The sequence below is a fragment of the Homo sapiens genome, chromosome 6 (genome assembly GCF_000001405.40).
Source record: "Homo sapiens chromosome 6, GRCh38.p14 Primary Assembly".
Lineage (NCBI taxonomy): Eukaryota > Metazoa > Chordata > Mammalia > Primates > Hominidae > Homo > Homo sapiens.
This window is the reverse complement of record NC_000006.12, coordinates 131,704,093-131,719,699: the sequence shown is the minus strand read 5'-3', so window position 1 is coordinate 131,719,699 and position 15,607 is coordinate 131,704,093. Positions and strand designations below refer to the sequence as shown.

Genomic DNA, 15,607 nt, shown 5'->3' with positions numbered 1-15,607 from the left:
AATATCAAACACAGATAAGCAATTATGTTTTGGTAACAGGTGTGGGTGTATATATACATACATATATTAAGACAATGATCAAAGAATTGGAAGCATAGATTTTTCTTGCAATAATTAATTTAACTATTACATAGTACCCCAATTAATAGTAAAGCTCTTTCTCCAGAGATCGTTTTCAAATATTTACAAAAAGATGTAACTCACCATGACAATGTTATAATAAAAGGAAACATATTCATAAAAGGCCTAATACATTTTTTTTTCTATTTGGAAAGGAATGTGTGTGTGTGTGTGTGTGTGTGTGTGTGTGTGTGTGTTACAAATGGAAGTAGATGAGATAACCAGGTTGCAAAGCTTTACCTATGGGGGATTATCAGCTGCATTCTACTCATAGACTCAGGCACACTCCCAATTTTGGCCCTTTTCAGTGGCTGTTTCTCCTGCCTGGGACACTTGGCTCCTGAATATTTGTAAGGCGAATTCTTTTACCTTTTTCAAATCTCTGCTCAATGTCAACTCAATGACTCTTACTCTTTCCACCCTATTTAAAGTTTCTTACTGCCCCCCAGGGTACCCCAAAATACTCCCAATTTCTCCCTTACTCTCCTTTACTTTTTCTTTATTTCCCACAGCATTTACCTTCTGACATAACAAATAATGTATTATTTTATTATTCCTACTGTCTGTATCCCCCTCTTAGAATAAAAGCTTCGTGAGGGCAGGATCTTAATCTGTTTTGTTCACAGATGTATTCAAGAACCTTGAACATTGCCTATAATAAAATAGGTGTGCAATAAATATCTGTTTTAAAAAAGCAGTAACTAGGCTTAACATCTGAGTAATGAAATAATCTGTATGACAAACCCCCATGACAGATGTTTACCTATGTAACAAACCTGCACATTCTGTACATGTACCCCTGAACTTAAAATAAAAGTTAAAAAAAAAAGCAGTAAGTTACCTCCATGCTCCTAAACTCATTGTTATAACCATGGTTGCCTCCTCCACAATTTGTATTTGATTTACTCCTATAAAGAAAAAATATTATTACACACTGATCAATATATTGATATGAGACCATAGTGTAAGATTTAACTAATTTTATATAGTTTCTGTAAATTTTATAAGTAAATTTTTTTATCAACAACAGAATAATATATTTTTCTATCAACAACAGAATAAATTTTTATATCAATAATGAATAAATATATTTATTTTCATGCTCAAATTCATAACCATAATGGAACAAACAGAAGGGTACGAGAGAAGAAAGGAAAATTCCAGGATCTATAAATAGAATTCAAAAGTCTCTGACTGATAGATACTGACTAAGGCTAGTAATAAAGGTACATATTTTAAAAAAAAATGAATTTGTCTTCAAGCTCATGGGTGTACCTTTACACATCAATGACTATATGCTGAAGAATAGTTTGGTTAATATGTTATTTTAGCATTTCAATGCTTTAGGAATAAATCTTTGCAACTGGGGAAAAATATCAATTTCTGTTTTCCAGTGAAGATGTCTAGGAAAATAATATGAAAGCATGAATAAAGAATAGGCAGGGCAAGTTAATTATAATCCAGTCATGCGTTGCTTAAGGGCAGGAATATGTTCTGAGAAATGCATTCTTATGCAAGTTTATCATTGTGGAAACATCACAGAGTACACTTACACAAGCCTGGATGGTACAGCCTTCTACGCACCTGGGCTATGTGGTCTAACCTATTGCTCCTAGCTACAAACCTGTACAGCATGCTACTGTACTGAATACCACAGGCAGCTGTAACACAATGGTAAGGATTTGTGTATCTAAGCACATGTAAACATAGAAAAGTTATAGTAGAACTATAGTATTATAATCTTATGGGACCACCATCACACAAGCAGTTCATTGTTGGCCAAAATGTTGTTATACAACACATAACTGTACTTGGTAAAAAGAAGCTAGTATATTCTGTAAATTCAGAGATTATTATTATAATTATGTTTACCTTTGTGATTTTCTTCCATAGGCTGTAGCTTTATTATTTGAATAAATTTTCAAATTTAATTAATTAGTTTTTGCCTACATTTTAATACTGTTTTGAATTGAGCAGTATTAACAATTTTATAAGTAGCTGTTTTTCATACTTGGAAAATAGCGATAAATGAACCTAGATCTTTTAAAGCAACAATGTTATACTGAGTCAAATTTGATCTCTGAAGGGAACAAAGGACTCCTATTTCCAAAGGCTGGCCCTAAAAGATTCTCTCATTTTCTTCCCCACCCTCACCTCTCACCCCAAGGGCAAATACACACACACACACACACACACACACACACACACACACACACACACACACACACCCCCCGCAGGGTTTCTGTTTGTTTTTACAAACTCGACTCGACTAACAACAGGACAGTAATTTAGTGTCTTTAAAAAATCAACATTAAAAAAATTCATAACTGACTCTAATTCAGTTTAAATAGAAAATAAAAATAAATCACAAATTAAAAAATAAATCACAAATCTGACCAGGCCACACTCACTCAACTCTACCCAGTAGAGGGAAGAAAAGAGAGGCCAGGTAAGTACCTGGAATGGGGAAAGCAAGACAAGTCCTGATTCAGAAGGAAATTAAGTTTGATATCCTAAGGATGTCACTTCATTTCCTTATCTTAGTTAATGCCAATAAAATTGCTGGCATATGACAACTATAGGTTTTATTTATTTATTTATTTATTTTTGAGACTGAGTCTCGCTCTGTCGCCCAGGCTGGAGTGAAGTGGCGTGATCTTGGCTCACTGCAACCTCTGCCTCCTGGGTTCAAGCGATTCTCCTGCCTCAGCCTCCCGAGTAGCTGGGACTACAGGCATGTGCCACCACATCCAGCTAATATTTTTGTGTTTTTAGTGGAGAGAGGGTTTTGCCATGTTGGCCAGGCTAGTCTGGAACTCCTAACCTCAAGTGTTCCACCCATCTCAGCCTCCCAAAGTGCTGGGATTACAGGCATGAGCCACCACACCCGGCCTCTATTTTTTTAATTATAAATAAATAAATGTTTTTATTCTTACTGCATAGATATTTGGTTTCCCAATATTAATGGAATTATTTAGTAGGAGGTAATTAAGTTTTAAATTCTGTGTGGAAAGCTAGAATGTTCATTAATGAAAGAAAGAAAAAGGTTTTTTGACTAAGTTTTTTGGTAAATTTTCTAATGCTCGTACTATGGTTATTTTTCTATTTTCAGAAAAATCTAGTTTTTTAAAATATTTCCATCTCCTAATCCAGCTCAATTTAAAAACTATAGTAAATATTGCAAAATTTCATTCAGAAGCAAAATATTAAAATATTGTTTGAAAACTCTCTTTTCTATTTATTTCCAAGTAAAAACTTTGGAAATTTGCTCTCTACCTCCTCATGTTCATGTCTAATCATTAATTTAGCTTTGGAAGTTACATATGGAACAATGATAGCTGGCACTTGGAAAATGAGTTGATTCTATCTGTCATAAGTTAGCTCAACTTCCAAGTCCCATATGAAATATTTTGGAACAAATTCTCCATTATCTTCCCCATGTCTAATTAACACAGTTGAAATCAAGGCTGGGGTTCTCTACCACAGCTGGGTAATGACACAGGTGGGAGATGAATAAGACTTCTCTCCTGATGCCAGATCAGTTGCCAAGTCTGTCTTCCTGTGCGGTATCTCCATTCTACACATAAGCAGATCGCCAAGCATTTAAAGCACTTGCTCACATGGGCTGGCAGCCTGGGTTACCCAGAATGCGCTTATGGGTAACAGCAGGTTGCAGCCAGTGGGGCTGGGTATATACTTGATTCTTGTTTACCGAGAAAACACTGGGTGGGGCTGGACCTGGCAAGCCCATCTACAGGTCCCCCAACAATAAGCACTAGCACCAACTCTGAGGGAGAGTCCAGTGGGCAGCCACCAAGTGTCCAGCGGCGTGCCTCGGCGTGGAAGTTGGCCCCAAATTCTCTGCATAAGGGTGCCAGAGGAAGCCTAATCTCTTACTCCAGGAGAGTGGCTGCTCCAAATGCCTGGAGATCTGCCTGGTTGTGGAGTGGAGAGGGTCTCCTTACACCAATATCCCTGCACAGGAAGGATGGGGTGGCTCAGGCTACTGCTCCAGGTGAGCAGATGCTCCAAATACCTGGAAATCTGTGGAGCAGAGAGGGTCCCACTACACCGCAATCTCTGCACCAGAAGAACGGAGCAGCTCAGATTGCTGATTCATGCTGATGGGCACTCTGAATCCCTGGATGTCTGCCTGGGCATGAAGTGGAGATGGTCCCCTTGCACAAGGATCTCTGCACAGGAAGGAAGGGGCAACCCAGGCTGCCAGCCCATGTGAGCAAGTGCTTTAAATGCTTGGCGATCTGCTTATGTGTAGAATGGAGAAGGCCCTGCTACACCACAGTCTCAAGGAAGTAGGCTGGGTCACCCAAAAATAACACACACAGACCAGTTCTAGTTCATCAAGCTGGCGCTGGCTAAAAGTCTCATTGTCCAGGAGAAACCACAGCCATAGCAGCTCTCCTCTTGCCCAAGGCCTGTGACTGGGGAAAACACAATTCCAGTGCCTACTGTTGAGATGTTTTCCACAGTTCTAGCTGTGGAGGACCCTACCCTGATCCAGAGCAGGTGCTCCAATCTCTATCAATAATGTTTGATATGAGTTGGCCCATACTCAACTGAAAATAAGAAAAATTTTTATGTGCAAGGATAGTCTCTGAGGTTGAGCATTTTTGTTCAGTGATGAGGCATTTGAATTACCAACATGCTTAATGCTATGGAAATCTATGGAACCCATTTCTTTAAGAAATGGATTCATATCTTAATAAAGAACAACTTTTTTATTGTTTAATTGCCGAAACAAGATGTCAACCTATTACCCTAAGTAACCAGTTCAATCATAGCCATTCACATCATCTAGTACCAAGTGATATTTTTCACGGAAATGAACATGTGGAGGAAAAGTCCTTGACTGGAAAAAAAATTGATATATATAATCATTACAGAGCTGTATATTTATATAAGACTAACTGTGAGATGAATGGAGAAAGCTCTGAGATTCACTGTTGAGTAGCTTATAATTTCCAAGTCCTCTGCTAGACATGAAAACTATTTAGTGTAGAACAAAAATATGATGCTGTATCTCACAACTCCTATATAAATGTTTCCATTCCTACTTTATTTCTGCTTTCATTTTCACGGTGCATCTACAGTCTCTCTTCCAGCCTCCCATTTGTATTTTACAACATGCATAATTACAGATTTATTCTTTAATTATTTCATTTTCATATGATTTTTATATCTCTTGAAAGATTTCTTTGAAACTTCTGTCTTTTTTATTTTCCAGAGAAGCAGAGTATTTTTAGGCAATAATATTTTACCTTATGATGGCTTTCAACTATTAAAAGAAAAAAGGAAAGTAGTAAAATAAATAAATGCAGAGAGTCACCAACTTACAATGATTTCACTTAAGATTTTCAACTGTACAATGGTGGGAAAGTGATATTCATTCAGTAGAAACCATATTTCAAGTACTCATGCTACCATGATGTTTTTCCTTTTCAGTACAGTATTCAATAAATTACATGAAATATTCAACAGCTTACTATAATATAGGCTTTGTGTAAGATGATTTTGCCCAACTGTAGGCTAATGTTAGTGTTCTAAGCATGGTTCAGGTGGGCTAGGCTAAGCTATGATGTTTGGTAGGTTAGGTTTATTAAACATATCTTCAAGCCAGGTATAGTGGTGTGTGCCTATAGTCAGTCCCAGCTCTTCAGGAAGCTGAGGCAGGAGGATTGTTTGAGCTCAAAGACTTTGAGAATATAGTGTACTATGACTACACCTGAGAATAGCCACTGCACTCCAGCCTGGGCAACAGGACAACAGTCTATATTTTTTTAAAAAAAGCATCATCAACTTATAATATTACCAACTTATGATGGGTTTATTGGAACATAATCCTATCATAAGTTGAAGTGTATCTTTATATAGTAGAATGTAGTAACATACTACAGACTTATTTTCTCAAAGCATAAAAATAAACCACACTAATGATCATCCATGGGAGAGGGACACCTAGACAATGTCCTGCAAAACGAGAAATACTGGTAAGACATACTTTACATTCCAGACTGAGTCTCTTTCACCATGAAATAAAATCATTAAGAAATTTTTAGTAATATTTTAATTATTATATTTTAATTAAAAATTTAGGTATAGAAAGAAGGTTGTATAGCTTTACATTAAAAATAAATTAGTATGTGACTTGGCTACTTGACACCAAATAGCTTGTGTCAGATTCACCCTCCCACCATAAAAAACTATACAATCTGGCCAAAATATAGAAAAAAATTCTTGGCAGGTGTATTAGTCTGTTCTCATGCTGCTAATAAAGACATACCCAAGACTGGGTAATTTATAAAAGAAAGAGGTTTAGTGAACTCACAGTTCCACATGGCTGGGGAGAACTCACAATCATGATAGAAGGCAAAGGAAAAGCAAAGGCACATCTTACATGGCAGACAAGAGAGAGGGCATGTGCAGGGAAGCTCCCCTTTGTAAAACCATCAGATCTCATGAGACTTATTCACTATCACAACAACAGCATGGGAAAGACCCACCCCCATGATTCAATTACCTCTCACCAGCTGCTGAGCATGGTTCAGGTGGGCTGGCTACATGTGGGAATTATGCAAGCTACAATTCAAGATGGGATCTGCGTAAGGACACAGCCAAACCATATCAGCAGGCATTGAAGAACATTGTTGTAGCAAGTCAGGTATGAGATCTTTCAGGAAGGTGAGGCACATGAGGTTAGTACCACATTTGCCAGGATTTTCCAGAAAGGCATCTTCCTGACCTTGGTACAGGAAAATGGGACCCAACCAGGGGTTAGTGGTCTTGGGAACCAAAAGAAGCAATGAATAGAGTTCAAAGCTGCTAAATTGGTTAGGAATTGGGGGTCAATGTACCATATGGGAGAGAGAAAGAACCTAGAAATGGGTGTATACATGCCATTTTGGTCCTTCTGTGACTCCTTAGCTATGTGACAGTTGGCTAAGAAGAGGGGAGACCTTGGAGAAAGAAACTGCTGGGATACAGAAAGCATAAGAGATCATCAGGGACTAAAAACTTCTTGGAAAGCTACTGGAGTTCAGATCCAGCCAAATGGGGAAATGTTGGCAAACAACTGAGAAACTCAGTTGGGACTCTAAAAATTCTCTTAGGAGAGGTGCAGTATCCCAGGAGTGAGGCATATGTTCTAAGAGGAAAATAAAATATAATTATCATAACACAGCTTAAAACTAGGTCTTGAGAGCAGCAAGATGATCTGCAAGTAATTACAAATTCTGCCCAGAAAAAAAATTCAAAATTCTTGAGTAGTTCTATATCATATTATCCATAAATTCAGCATACTTTAAAAAAAGTACCAAATATACAAAAAAGCAAGTAAAACAGACTGATAAGAAATAAATCAGTTATTAAAAACAAACTCATAGATAATCCAGATATTGGAGTTAACAGATAGGGCATCATAACATCTATGGTGAATATAAAGGAAAGAAAGAAAAAATGAAAGACAAAACAGGTTGTGTCAGATTTCTTTCTGGAAGCTTTAAAATGCTCACTTTATTTTCATAGATTCTAATTTCCTAAATTATGTTTGATGTTTCAAGCAAAAATCATAGCATTGTCTAGTGTTATTCTAAATGGATGTAAGACCATTATACTACAAATTTGATAGAGTAAAGAGACATAATATGACAGAAGGTTGCTATACTTCACTCAGACTGGAATAAAGATGATACCAATTGACTGTGATAATGTTTATATAAATGAATATACACTAAGCTGTAAAATGCAACCACTAAGCTATAAAATGCAACCAAAAAAACTATAAAAAAGAAGATACACTATAAACACTATAAATAACAAAATGGAATTCTAAAACAAATGTTCAAGTAACCCACATGAAGTCATGAAAAATAAGCAGAGAAACAAGAATTGATAGAGAAAACAAAAAATGTCAGGCTTACGCATTAAAGTATCAATAATTCATTTAATTATGAATGGTCTACCAAGAGATAGATAATAGAAGAGTGTATTTAAAAGTATGACCCTTTCTTATATGTTTCTTGTATGCTGTGTACAAGAAACTCACTTGAATTTTACCAATACAGGGCAGGCCAAATTAACAGGATGAAAAAAGATATATTACACAAACATTAATGAAAGGAAAGCAAGAGTGTCTGTATGCATATCAGATAAAGCAAAGAAAACTACCAAAACCAGAGATTATGTAATGATCAAAGGTTTAATCCATGAAGAAGACAGCAATTTTAAAAGTGTATTCACCAAAAAATAAAGCTTCAAAATATGTGATGTGAAAACTGCCAGAACTAAGGCGGGCCGGGCTCAGACCAGCGCTGCCTCAGGATGTAAAGTGTAACAAGAGGGCCAGGGGAGGTGGTGGGGGACAACATGGGCCTGTGAGGCCTGTGGGTGCCCGCGTTCCCCAGCTCCCCCCGCAGCCCGCTCCACAGTGGTCCGCTCCGGTTGGTTGTCACGTGCGCATTCGGGTTCCAGACCCAAGGCTGCGTGTTCTCCACCGCTTGTTGTGGCCAGTGTTACTGCGGTGACCGCCAGAGCAGCCTCGACGCTATGGAGGAGCCTGGTGCTACCCCTCAGCCCTACCTGGGGCTGGTCCTGGAGGAGCTAGGCAGAGTTGTGGCAGCACTACCTGAGAGTATGAGACCAGATGAGAATCCTTATGGTTTTCCATCGGAACTGGTGGTATGTGCAGCTGTTATTGGATTTTTTGTTGTTCTCCTTTTTTTGTGGAGAAGTTTTAGATCGGTTAGGAGTCGGCTTTATGTGGGAAGAGAGCAAAAACTTGGTGCAACGCTTTCTGGACTAATTGAAGAAAAATGTAAACTACTTGAAAAGTTTAGCCTTATTCAAAAAGAGTATGAAGGCTATGAAGTAGAGTCATCTTTAGAGGATGCCAGCTTTGAGAAGGCGGCAGCAGAAGAAGCACGAAGTTTGGAGGCAACCTGTGAAAAGCTGAGCAGGTCCAATTCTGAACTTGAGGATGAAATCCTCTGTCTAGAAAAAGACTTAAAAGAAGAGAAATCTAAACATTCTCAACAAGATGAATTGATGGCGGATATTTCAAAAAGTATACAGTCTCTAGAAGATGAGTCAAAATCCCTCAAATCACAAATAGCTGAAGCCAAAATCATCTGCAAGACATTTAAAATGAGTGAAGAACGACGGGCTATAGCAATAAAAGATGCTTTGAATGAAAATTCTCAACTTCAGACAAGCCATAAACAGCTTTTTCAGCAAGAAGCTGAAGTATGGAAAGGACAAGTGAGTGAACTTAATAAACAGAAAATAACATTTGAAGACTCCAAAGTACACGCAGAACAAGTTCTGAATGATAAAGAAAATCACATCAAGACCCTGACTGGACACTTGCCAATGATGAAAGATCAGGCTGCTGTGCTTGAAGAAGACACAACGGATGATGATAACCTGGAATTAAAAGTGAACAGTCAATGGGAAAATGGTGCTAACTTAGATGATCCTCCGAAAGGAGCTTTGAAGAAACTGATTCATGCTGCTAAGTTAAATGTTTCTTTAAAAAGCTTAGAAGGAGAAAGAAACCACATTATTATTCAGTTATCTGAAGTGGACAAAACAAAGGAAGAGCTTACAGAGCATATTAAAAATCTTCAGACTCAACAAGCATCTTTGCAATCAGAAAACATATATTTTGAAAGTGAGAATCAGAAGCTTCAACAGAAACTTAAAATAATGACTGAATTCTATCAAGAAAATGAAATGAAACTCTACAGGAAATTAACAGTGGAGGAAAATTACCGAATAGAGGAAGAAGAGAAGCTTTCTAGAGTGGAAGAAAAGATCAGCCATGCCACTGAAGAGCTGGAGACCTATAGAAAGCTAGCCAAAGATCTTGAAGAAGAATTGGAGAGAACTGTTCATTTTTATCAAAAGCAGGTTATTTCCTACGAGAAAAGAGGACATGATAATTGGTTGGCAGCTCGGACTGCTGAAAGAAACCTCAGTGATTTAAGGAAAGAAAATGCTCACAACAAACAAAAATTAACTGAAAGAGAGTTGAAATTTGAACTTTTAGAAAAAGATCCTAATGCACTCGATGTTTCAAATACAGCATTTGGCAGAGAGCATTCCCCATGTAGTCCCTCACCATTGGGTCGGCCTTCATCTGAAACGAGAGCTTTTCCCTCTCCTCAAACTTTGTTGGAGGATCCACTCAGACTCTCACCTGTGCTTCCAGGGGGAGGAGGAAGAGGCCCAAGCAGCCCAGGGAATCCCCTGGACCATCAGATTACCAATGAAAGAGGAGAACCAAGCTATGACAGGTTAATCGATCCTCACAGGGCTCCTTCTGACACTGGGTCCCTGTCATCTCCGGTGGAACAGGACCGTAGGATGATGTTTCCTCCACCAGGGCAATCATATCCTGATTCAACTCTTCCTCCACAAAGGGAAGACAGATTTTATTCTAATTCTGAAAGACTGTCTGGACCAGCAGAACCCAGAAGTTTTAAAATGACTTCTTTGGATAAAATGGATAGGTCAATGCCTTCAGAAATGGAATCCAGTAGAAATGATGCCAAAGATGATCTTGGTAATTTAAATGTGCCTGATTCATCTCTCCCTGCTGAAAATGAAGCAACTGGCCCTGGCCTTATTCCTCCACCTCTTGCTCCAATCAGCGGTCCATTGTTTCCAGTGGATACAAGGGGCCCATTCATGAGAAGAGGACCTCCTTTCCCCCCACCTCCTCCAGGAACCATGTTTGGAGCTTCTCGAGGTTATTTTCCACCAAGGGATTTCCCAGGTCCACCACATGCTCCATTTGCAATGAGAAACATCTATCCACCGAGGGGTTTACCTCCTTACCTTCATCCGAGACCTGGATTTTACCCCAACCCCACATTCTGAAGGTAGAAGCGAGTTCCCTTCAGGATTGATTCCGCCTTCAAAGGAGCCTGCTACTGGACATCCAGAACCACAGCAAGACACCTGACAATATTGTTGCTTTCTTCAAAAGTAATTTTGACTGATCTCATTTTCAGTTTAAGTAACTGCTGTTACTTAAGTGATTGCACTTTTCTCAAATTGAAGTTTAATGGAATAATAGTTCTCAGGATAGTATTTTGTAAATAAAGATGGTTTGAATATGAATCTTATGAGTAAATCATTTCCATTTTATTATATTCTAGATCATATAACTTTTAACTTGGTGAACTAATCCACTCTTAGAGAAACAATAGTGGGAGTTTTATATATGTAATCTTGCAGGTGAGGAGGCTTTAAATTCTAAAGGTTGTGGTGTCTTCATGCCAAGAACTGTATTCACTGTGGTTGTAGATAAATGTGAAAGTAACTTTATGCTTAATTTAATAAATTTTCATTGATTTTTTTAAAAAAAGAAAACTGAAAGGAGATATAGATGAATCCACAATTATAGTTAGAAATTTCCTCATGCCTTTTTCAATAATTGATAGAACTAGACAGAAAATCAGCAAGGAGTGTTGGCTTTGGCAGCACTTTCTAAAATCAGAATGATGCCAACAAGATTAAAACGGTTCTTGAATATAGATTACACAAAATTTTGTGAAGCATTTCATGTTTTTAAAAAGAGGAAAAAAAAGAAAATCAACAAGAATATAAAACAACTCAAAATGCCATTAACCAAAAGAATCTATTTGGCATTTACAGAATATTCCACACAGTAACAGCAGAATACACATATTTTTTTTGAGTGCTGACGAAACACCTGGCAAGATAGAGCTGTCCTAGGCCCTAAAACTCGCCACAACAAATTTAAAAGAGATAGTAATCATCCAGAGCAGATGAAAACCAGAAATCATTGTAGGGAATCCAATTGGAAATCAGCATAAGAAAGATATGAAAATCCCTAAACATTTGGAAATTTAAAAACACACTTCACAATAATCTATCAGTCAAAGAAGTCTCAAGGAAAAATTTAAAAATACATTGAACTGGATAAACATGAAACTGTGACATATCAAAGTACTGAGAAGGAAACTTAGAGCAATAAATGCACGCATTAGTAAAGAGGAAAAGTCTCTAGTGAGCAATAGATTTCCACCTCAGGAACCTAGAAAAAGAAGAGCAGAATAAACTCAAAGCAAGTAGAGGGTGGGGATTAATGAAGATAAGAACAGAAAACACTTACATTTACAAGAGAAAAACAATGGTTAAATCAATGAAACAAAGAGATAGCTATGTTAAAAGATTAATAAAATTTAGCAAACTCAAGCATAAATTAAAAGGAAAAAACAAATTTCAAATATCATAATGAAACAGGCGATATCACTACAGACATAAACACACATAACAAAGGACTATCAAGGAATATTACAAACAACTCCACACACATAAATTAGACAATAGACAAAATGGACAAAATGCAGTGTTCCTCCTGCAACACAAACTAACTCAACTCACCAGGCATGAATAGATCATTTGAATAACTCTATAACCATTAAGAAAATAGAATTCATAATTTTAAAACTACCAATAAATAAATATTTATGCTTAGATGGTTTAACTGGAGAATTCTAACATGTTTTTAAAAAGTTAACACCAATTCTACACAATCTTTTCCAGAAAACAGTAAAAGAGAGAGCATTTCCCAATTTATTTTTTGAAGCTATTATTACAGTGATACCAAAACCAGGAGAGAGAGAGAGAGTGTGTGTGTGTCACACACACACACATATATACATATATATATATAAAGATATGTATAACTTACTTGATAAATAGAGTTCTATAGTATATTTTTCAAAATTTACCCATGTCCAGCGGGGGATTGTTTCCAGAAAAACAAACCTGATTAAATCTCAAAAAGTCAATCAAAATAATCCACCATGTTAACAAACAAAAGAAGGAAAGTTAGATTATATCAGTTGATGCATAATAAACATTTAACACATTTCGATATCCATTCATGATAAAAGCTCTCTATAAAGCAGGAATAGAGGAAACTTCATCCACTTGATAAAAAGCATCTACAAAAAGCTAACATTATACAATCACGTGTTGTTTAATGATGCGGATACGTTCTGAGAAATGTGCGGTCAAGTGATTCTGACATTGTGTGAACATCCAGAAAGGACTTCACGGGTAAGAGCATGCATGAGGCTGTCGTCTCCTATGATAGCAATGCCTTCTTCTGGAATACCTCTTGATGGACTTGCCTGAGACTGTTTAGCAGTTAACTTTTTTTAATAAGTAAAAGGAGTGCACTCTAAAATAATGACAAAGGCCAGGCACAGTGGCTCACACCTGTAATCTCAGTACTTTGGGATGCTGAGGTAGGCAGATCATCTGCAGTCAGGAGTTCAAGAAAACGCTGACCAACATGGTGAAACCCCATCTCTACCAAGAATATAAAAAATTAGCCAAGCATGATGTTGCACACCTATAATCTCAGCTACTTGGGATGCTGAGACACAAGAATCACTTCAACCCAGGAGGCAGAGGTTTCAGTGAACTGAGATTGCACCACTGCACTCCAGCCTGGGCAACAGAACAAGACTCCACCTCCAAAATAAAATAAAATAAAATAATGACAAAAAGTTTAGTAGAGTGTAGTAAATGCATAGCAAAATACATAGTTGTTTGCTTTTAACCATGCTGGGAGTGCAGTAGGATTGTTTACAGCAGCAATCCCACAAACATGTAAGTAATGCATTGTGCTACAATATTATTACGGCTATGACATCAGTTGGCAATATGATTTTTTCACCCCCATTATAATCTTGTGGGACCACTCTCATATATGCAGTCCATCACCGACCAAAGTGTTATGTAGGACATAGCTATACTAACATCATATTTAGTGGTGAAAAACTGAATGGTTCCTCTCTAAAATCAAGAATAAAGGAACTATGTCTGCTTTTATCACCCTTATGCAAAACAGTGCTAGAAGTTATACACTGCAATAAGACAAGAAAATAATTAAAGGACATACAGATCAGAATGGAAAAAATAGAACAGTCCCTACTTACAACAGACATGACTTTCTACATAGAAATCCAAATAAATCTATTTTACAAACCTCCTTAAATTAAGAAGTGAGTCCATTAAGGTCACAGAATTTAAGATAAACACAATCAAATTAATTCTATTTCTATATACAGACATAACTCATTTTATCGTTCTGCAATTTATTGTGCTTCATAGATATTGCATTTCCATTGTGTTAAAATTTTGTGGCTAACCTGCCTCAAGCAAGTCTATCTGCACCATTTTTCCAACAGCATGATCTCATTTTGTGTCCTAGGTCAAATTTTAATAATCTGTACAGTATTTTAAATGGGTTTATTATTATTGTCTGCTATGATGATCTGTGATAGGTGATCTTTGATGTTACTATTGTAATTATTTTAGGGCAGCATAAGCACGTCCACATAAGACAGCAAACTTAATTGATAAATGTTGTGTGTGTTCTGACTGCTCCACCGACAGGCCATTTCCCTCTCTCTCTTCCTCTTCTGGCCTCCCTAGTCCCTGAGACACAACAATGTTGAAGCTAAGCCAATTAACCACCCTATAATGTCCTCTAAATGTTCAAGTGAACGTCATTAAATTAAAAGCTAGAAATTATTAAGCTAAGTGAGAAAGGCATGCCAAGTAAGTATAAATCCGGAGTTGTCCAACTTGAGCTGAAGTGCTATTAGATCTACCAAGTCATAAGACTGAATGGTCACTGCAACCATCTATCCTATAATGGATGCAATATGTTTTAGGGCAAGAGAAAATGCAAAAGACAAAAGTAGGCTGAATGAACAGTTGGCCCAGATCCCTATATCACTGATGCCTCTCTCTCAGCTTATACATACAGTCTCCTAGGTCCTTCCAACCAGCTGATACCTTAGTAAACAAGCCAGGCCTAATGCAAGGGCACTTTGGCTAGGTATATTGGCACAATATGTCAACCACTCAGATGTGGGACCTCAAATATAATCCATGAGGGTAAACCTACTCTGATAAGTAGAATACATAGATTCATCCCCATCCATAGAAAGGGTTCAGAAAACAGGAGCTGGCCCTGTGCTTTTACAGAGCTTTATCCTTCCCATAAGGGCAGGACCAGATATTATCAAAAAAAAAAAAGAAAATTTTCAAAAGTAAATTTTGCTCAATCCTTATGCCTTATCCATTCTTCTTCTAGACAGGTCAATGAGCCCCACAGATTATTTAAAATGAATCTCCAACATCTACAGATTGGTGCTTAAAAATAAAGTGTCTGAGTTTCTATGTAAAATGACCTAATGATTAAGACCTTGGAATTCAAGTTTATTCTCCCAACAGCTTTTGGGTATTTGGGAAAGCAGACTACACTAAAAGAAATGACTGCAGGAATTAATGTCAAGGTTTTATTTTAACCGCCAAACAAACCTAGACATGGATCTTTGCATCTCCCAAGTGTTTTCTGAATGTTTGGGGAAGGAATAGCATAAATATTCATGAAACTCTAACAAATTCACATATTTTG

The 15,607-nt window shown here is 37.3% G+C and overlaps 2 protein-coding genes across 5 annotated transcripts in view; one reads left to right on the top strand and one right to left on the bottom strand.

Moving 5' to 3' along the window:
* ENPP3 (ectonucleotide pyrophosphatase/phosphodiesterase 3) overlaps positions 1-15,607 on the bottom strand; it is a 110,109-nt gene that overhangs the window by 27,711 nt on the left and 66,791 nt on the right. For all 4 annotated transcript variants that reach the window (NR_133007.2, NM_005021.5, XM_017010932.2 and 1 more), the window contains one exon: positions 962-1,028. Coding sequence is in view for 3 of the 4 variants with exons in the window: in NM_005021.5 (NP_005012.2) it covers positions 962-1,028 (67 nt within the window). In the remaining variant the exon portion in view is untranslated. The remainder of the gene's footprint in view (positions 1-961; positions 1,029-15,607) is intronic.
* CTAGE9 (CTAGE family member 9) lies at positions 8,683-11,259 on the top strand. The gene has a single exon (NM_001145659.1). It carries the CDS (start codon positions 8,683-8,685, stop codon positions 11,014-11,016), a length of 2,334 nt encoding a protein of 777 aa, NP_001139131.1. The 3' UTR covers positions 11,017-11,259.

Coding starts and splice junctions, on each gene's coding strand:
- CTAGE9 (NM_001145659.1), top strand. CDS start 8,683: ATGGAGGAGCCTGGTGCTACCCCTCAGCCCTACCTGGGGCTGGTCCTG.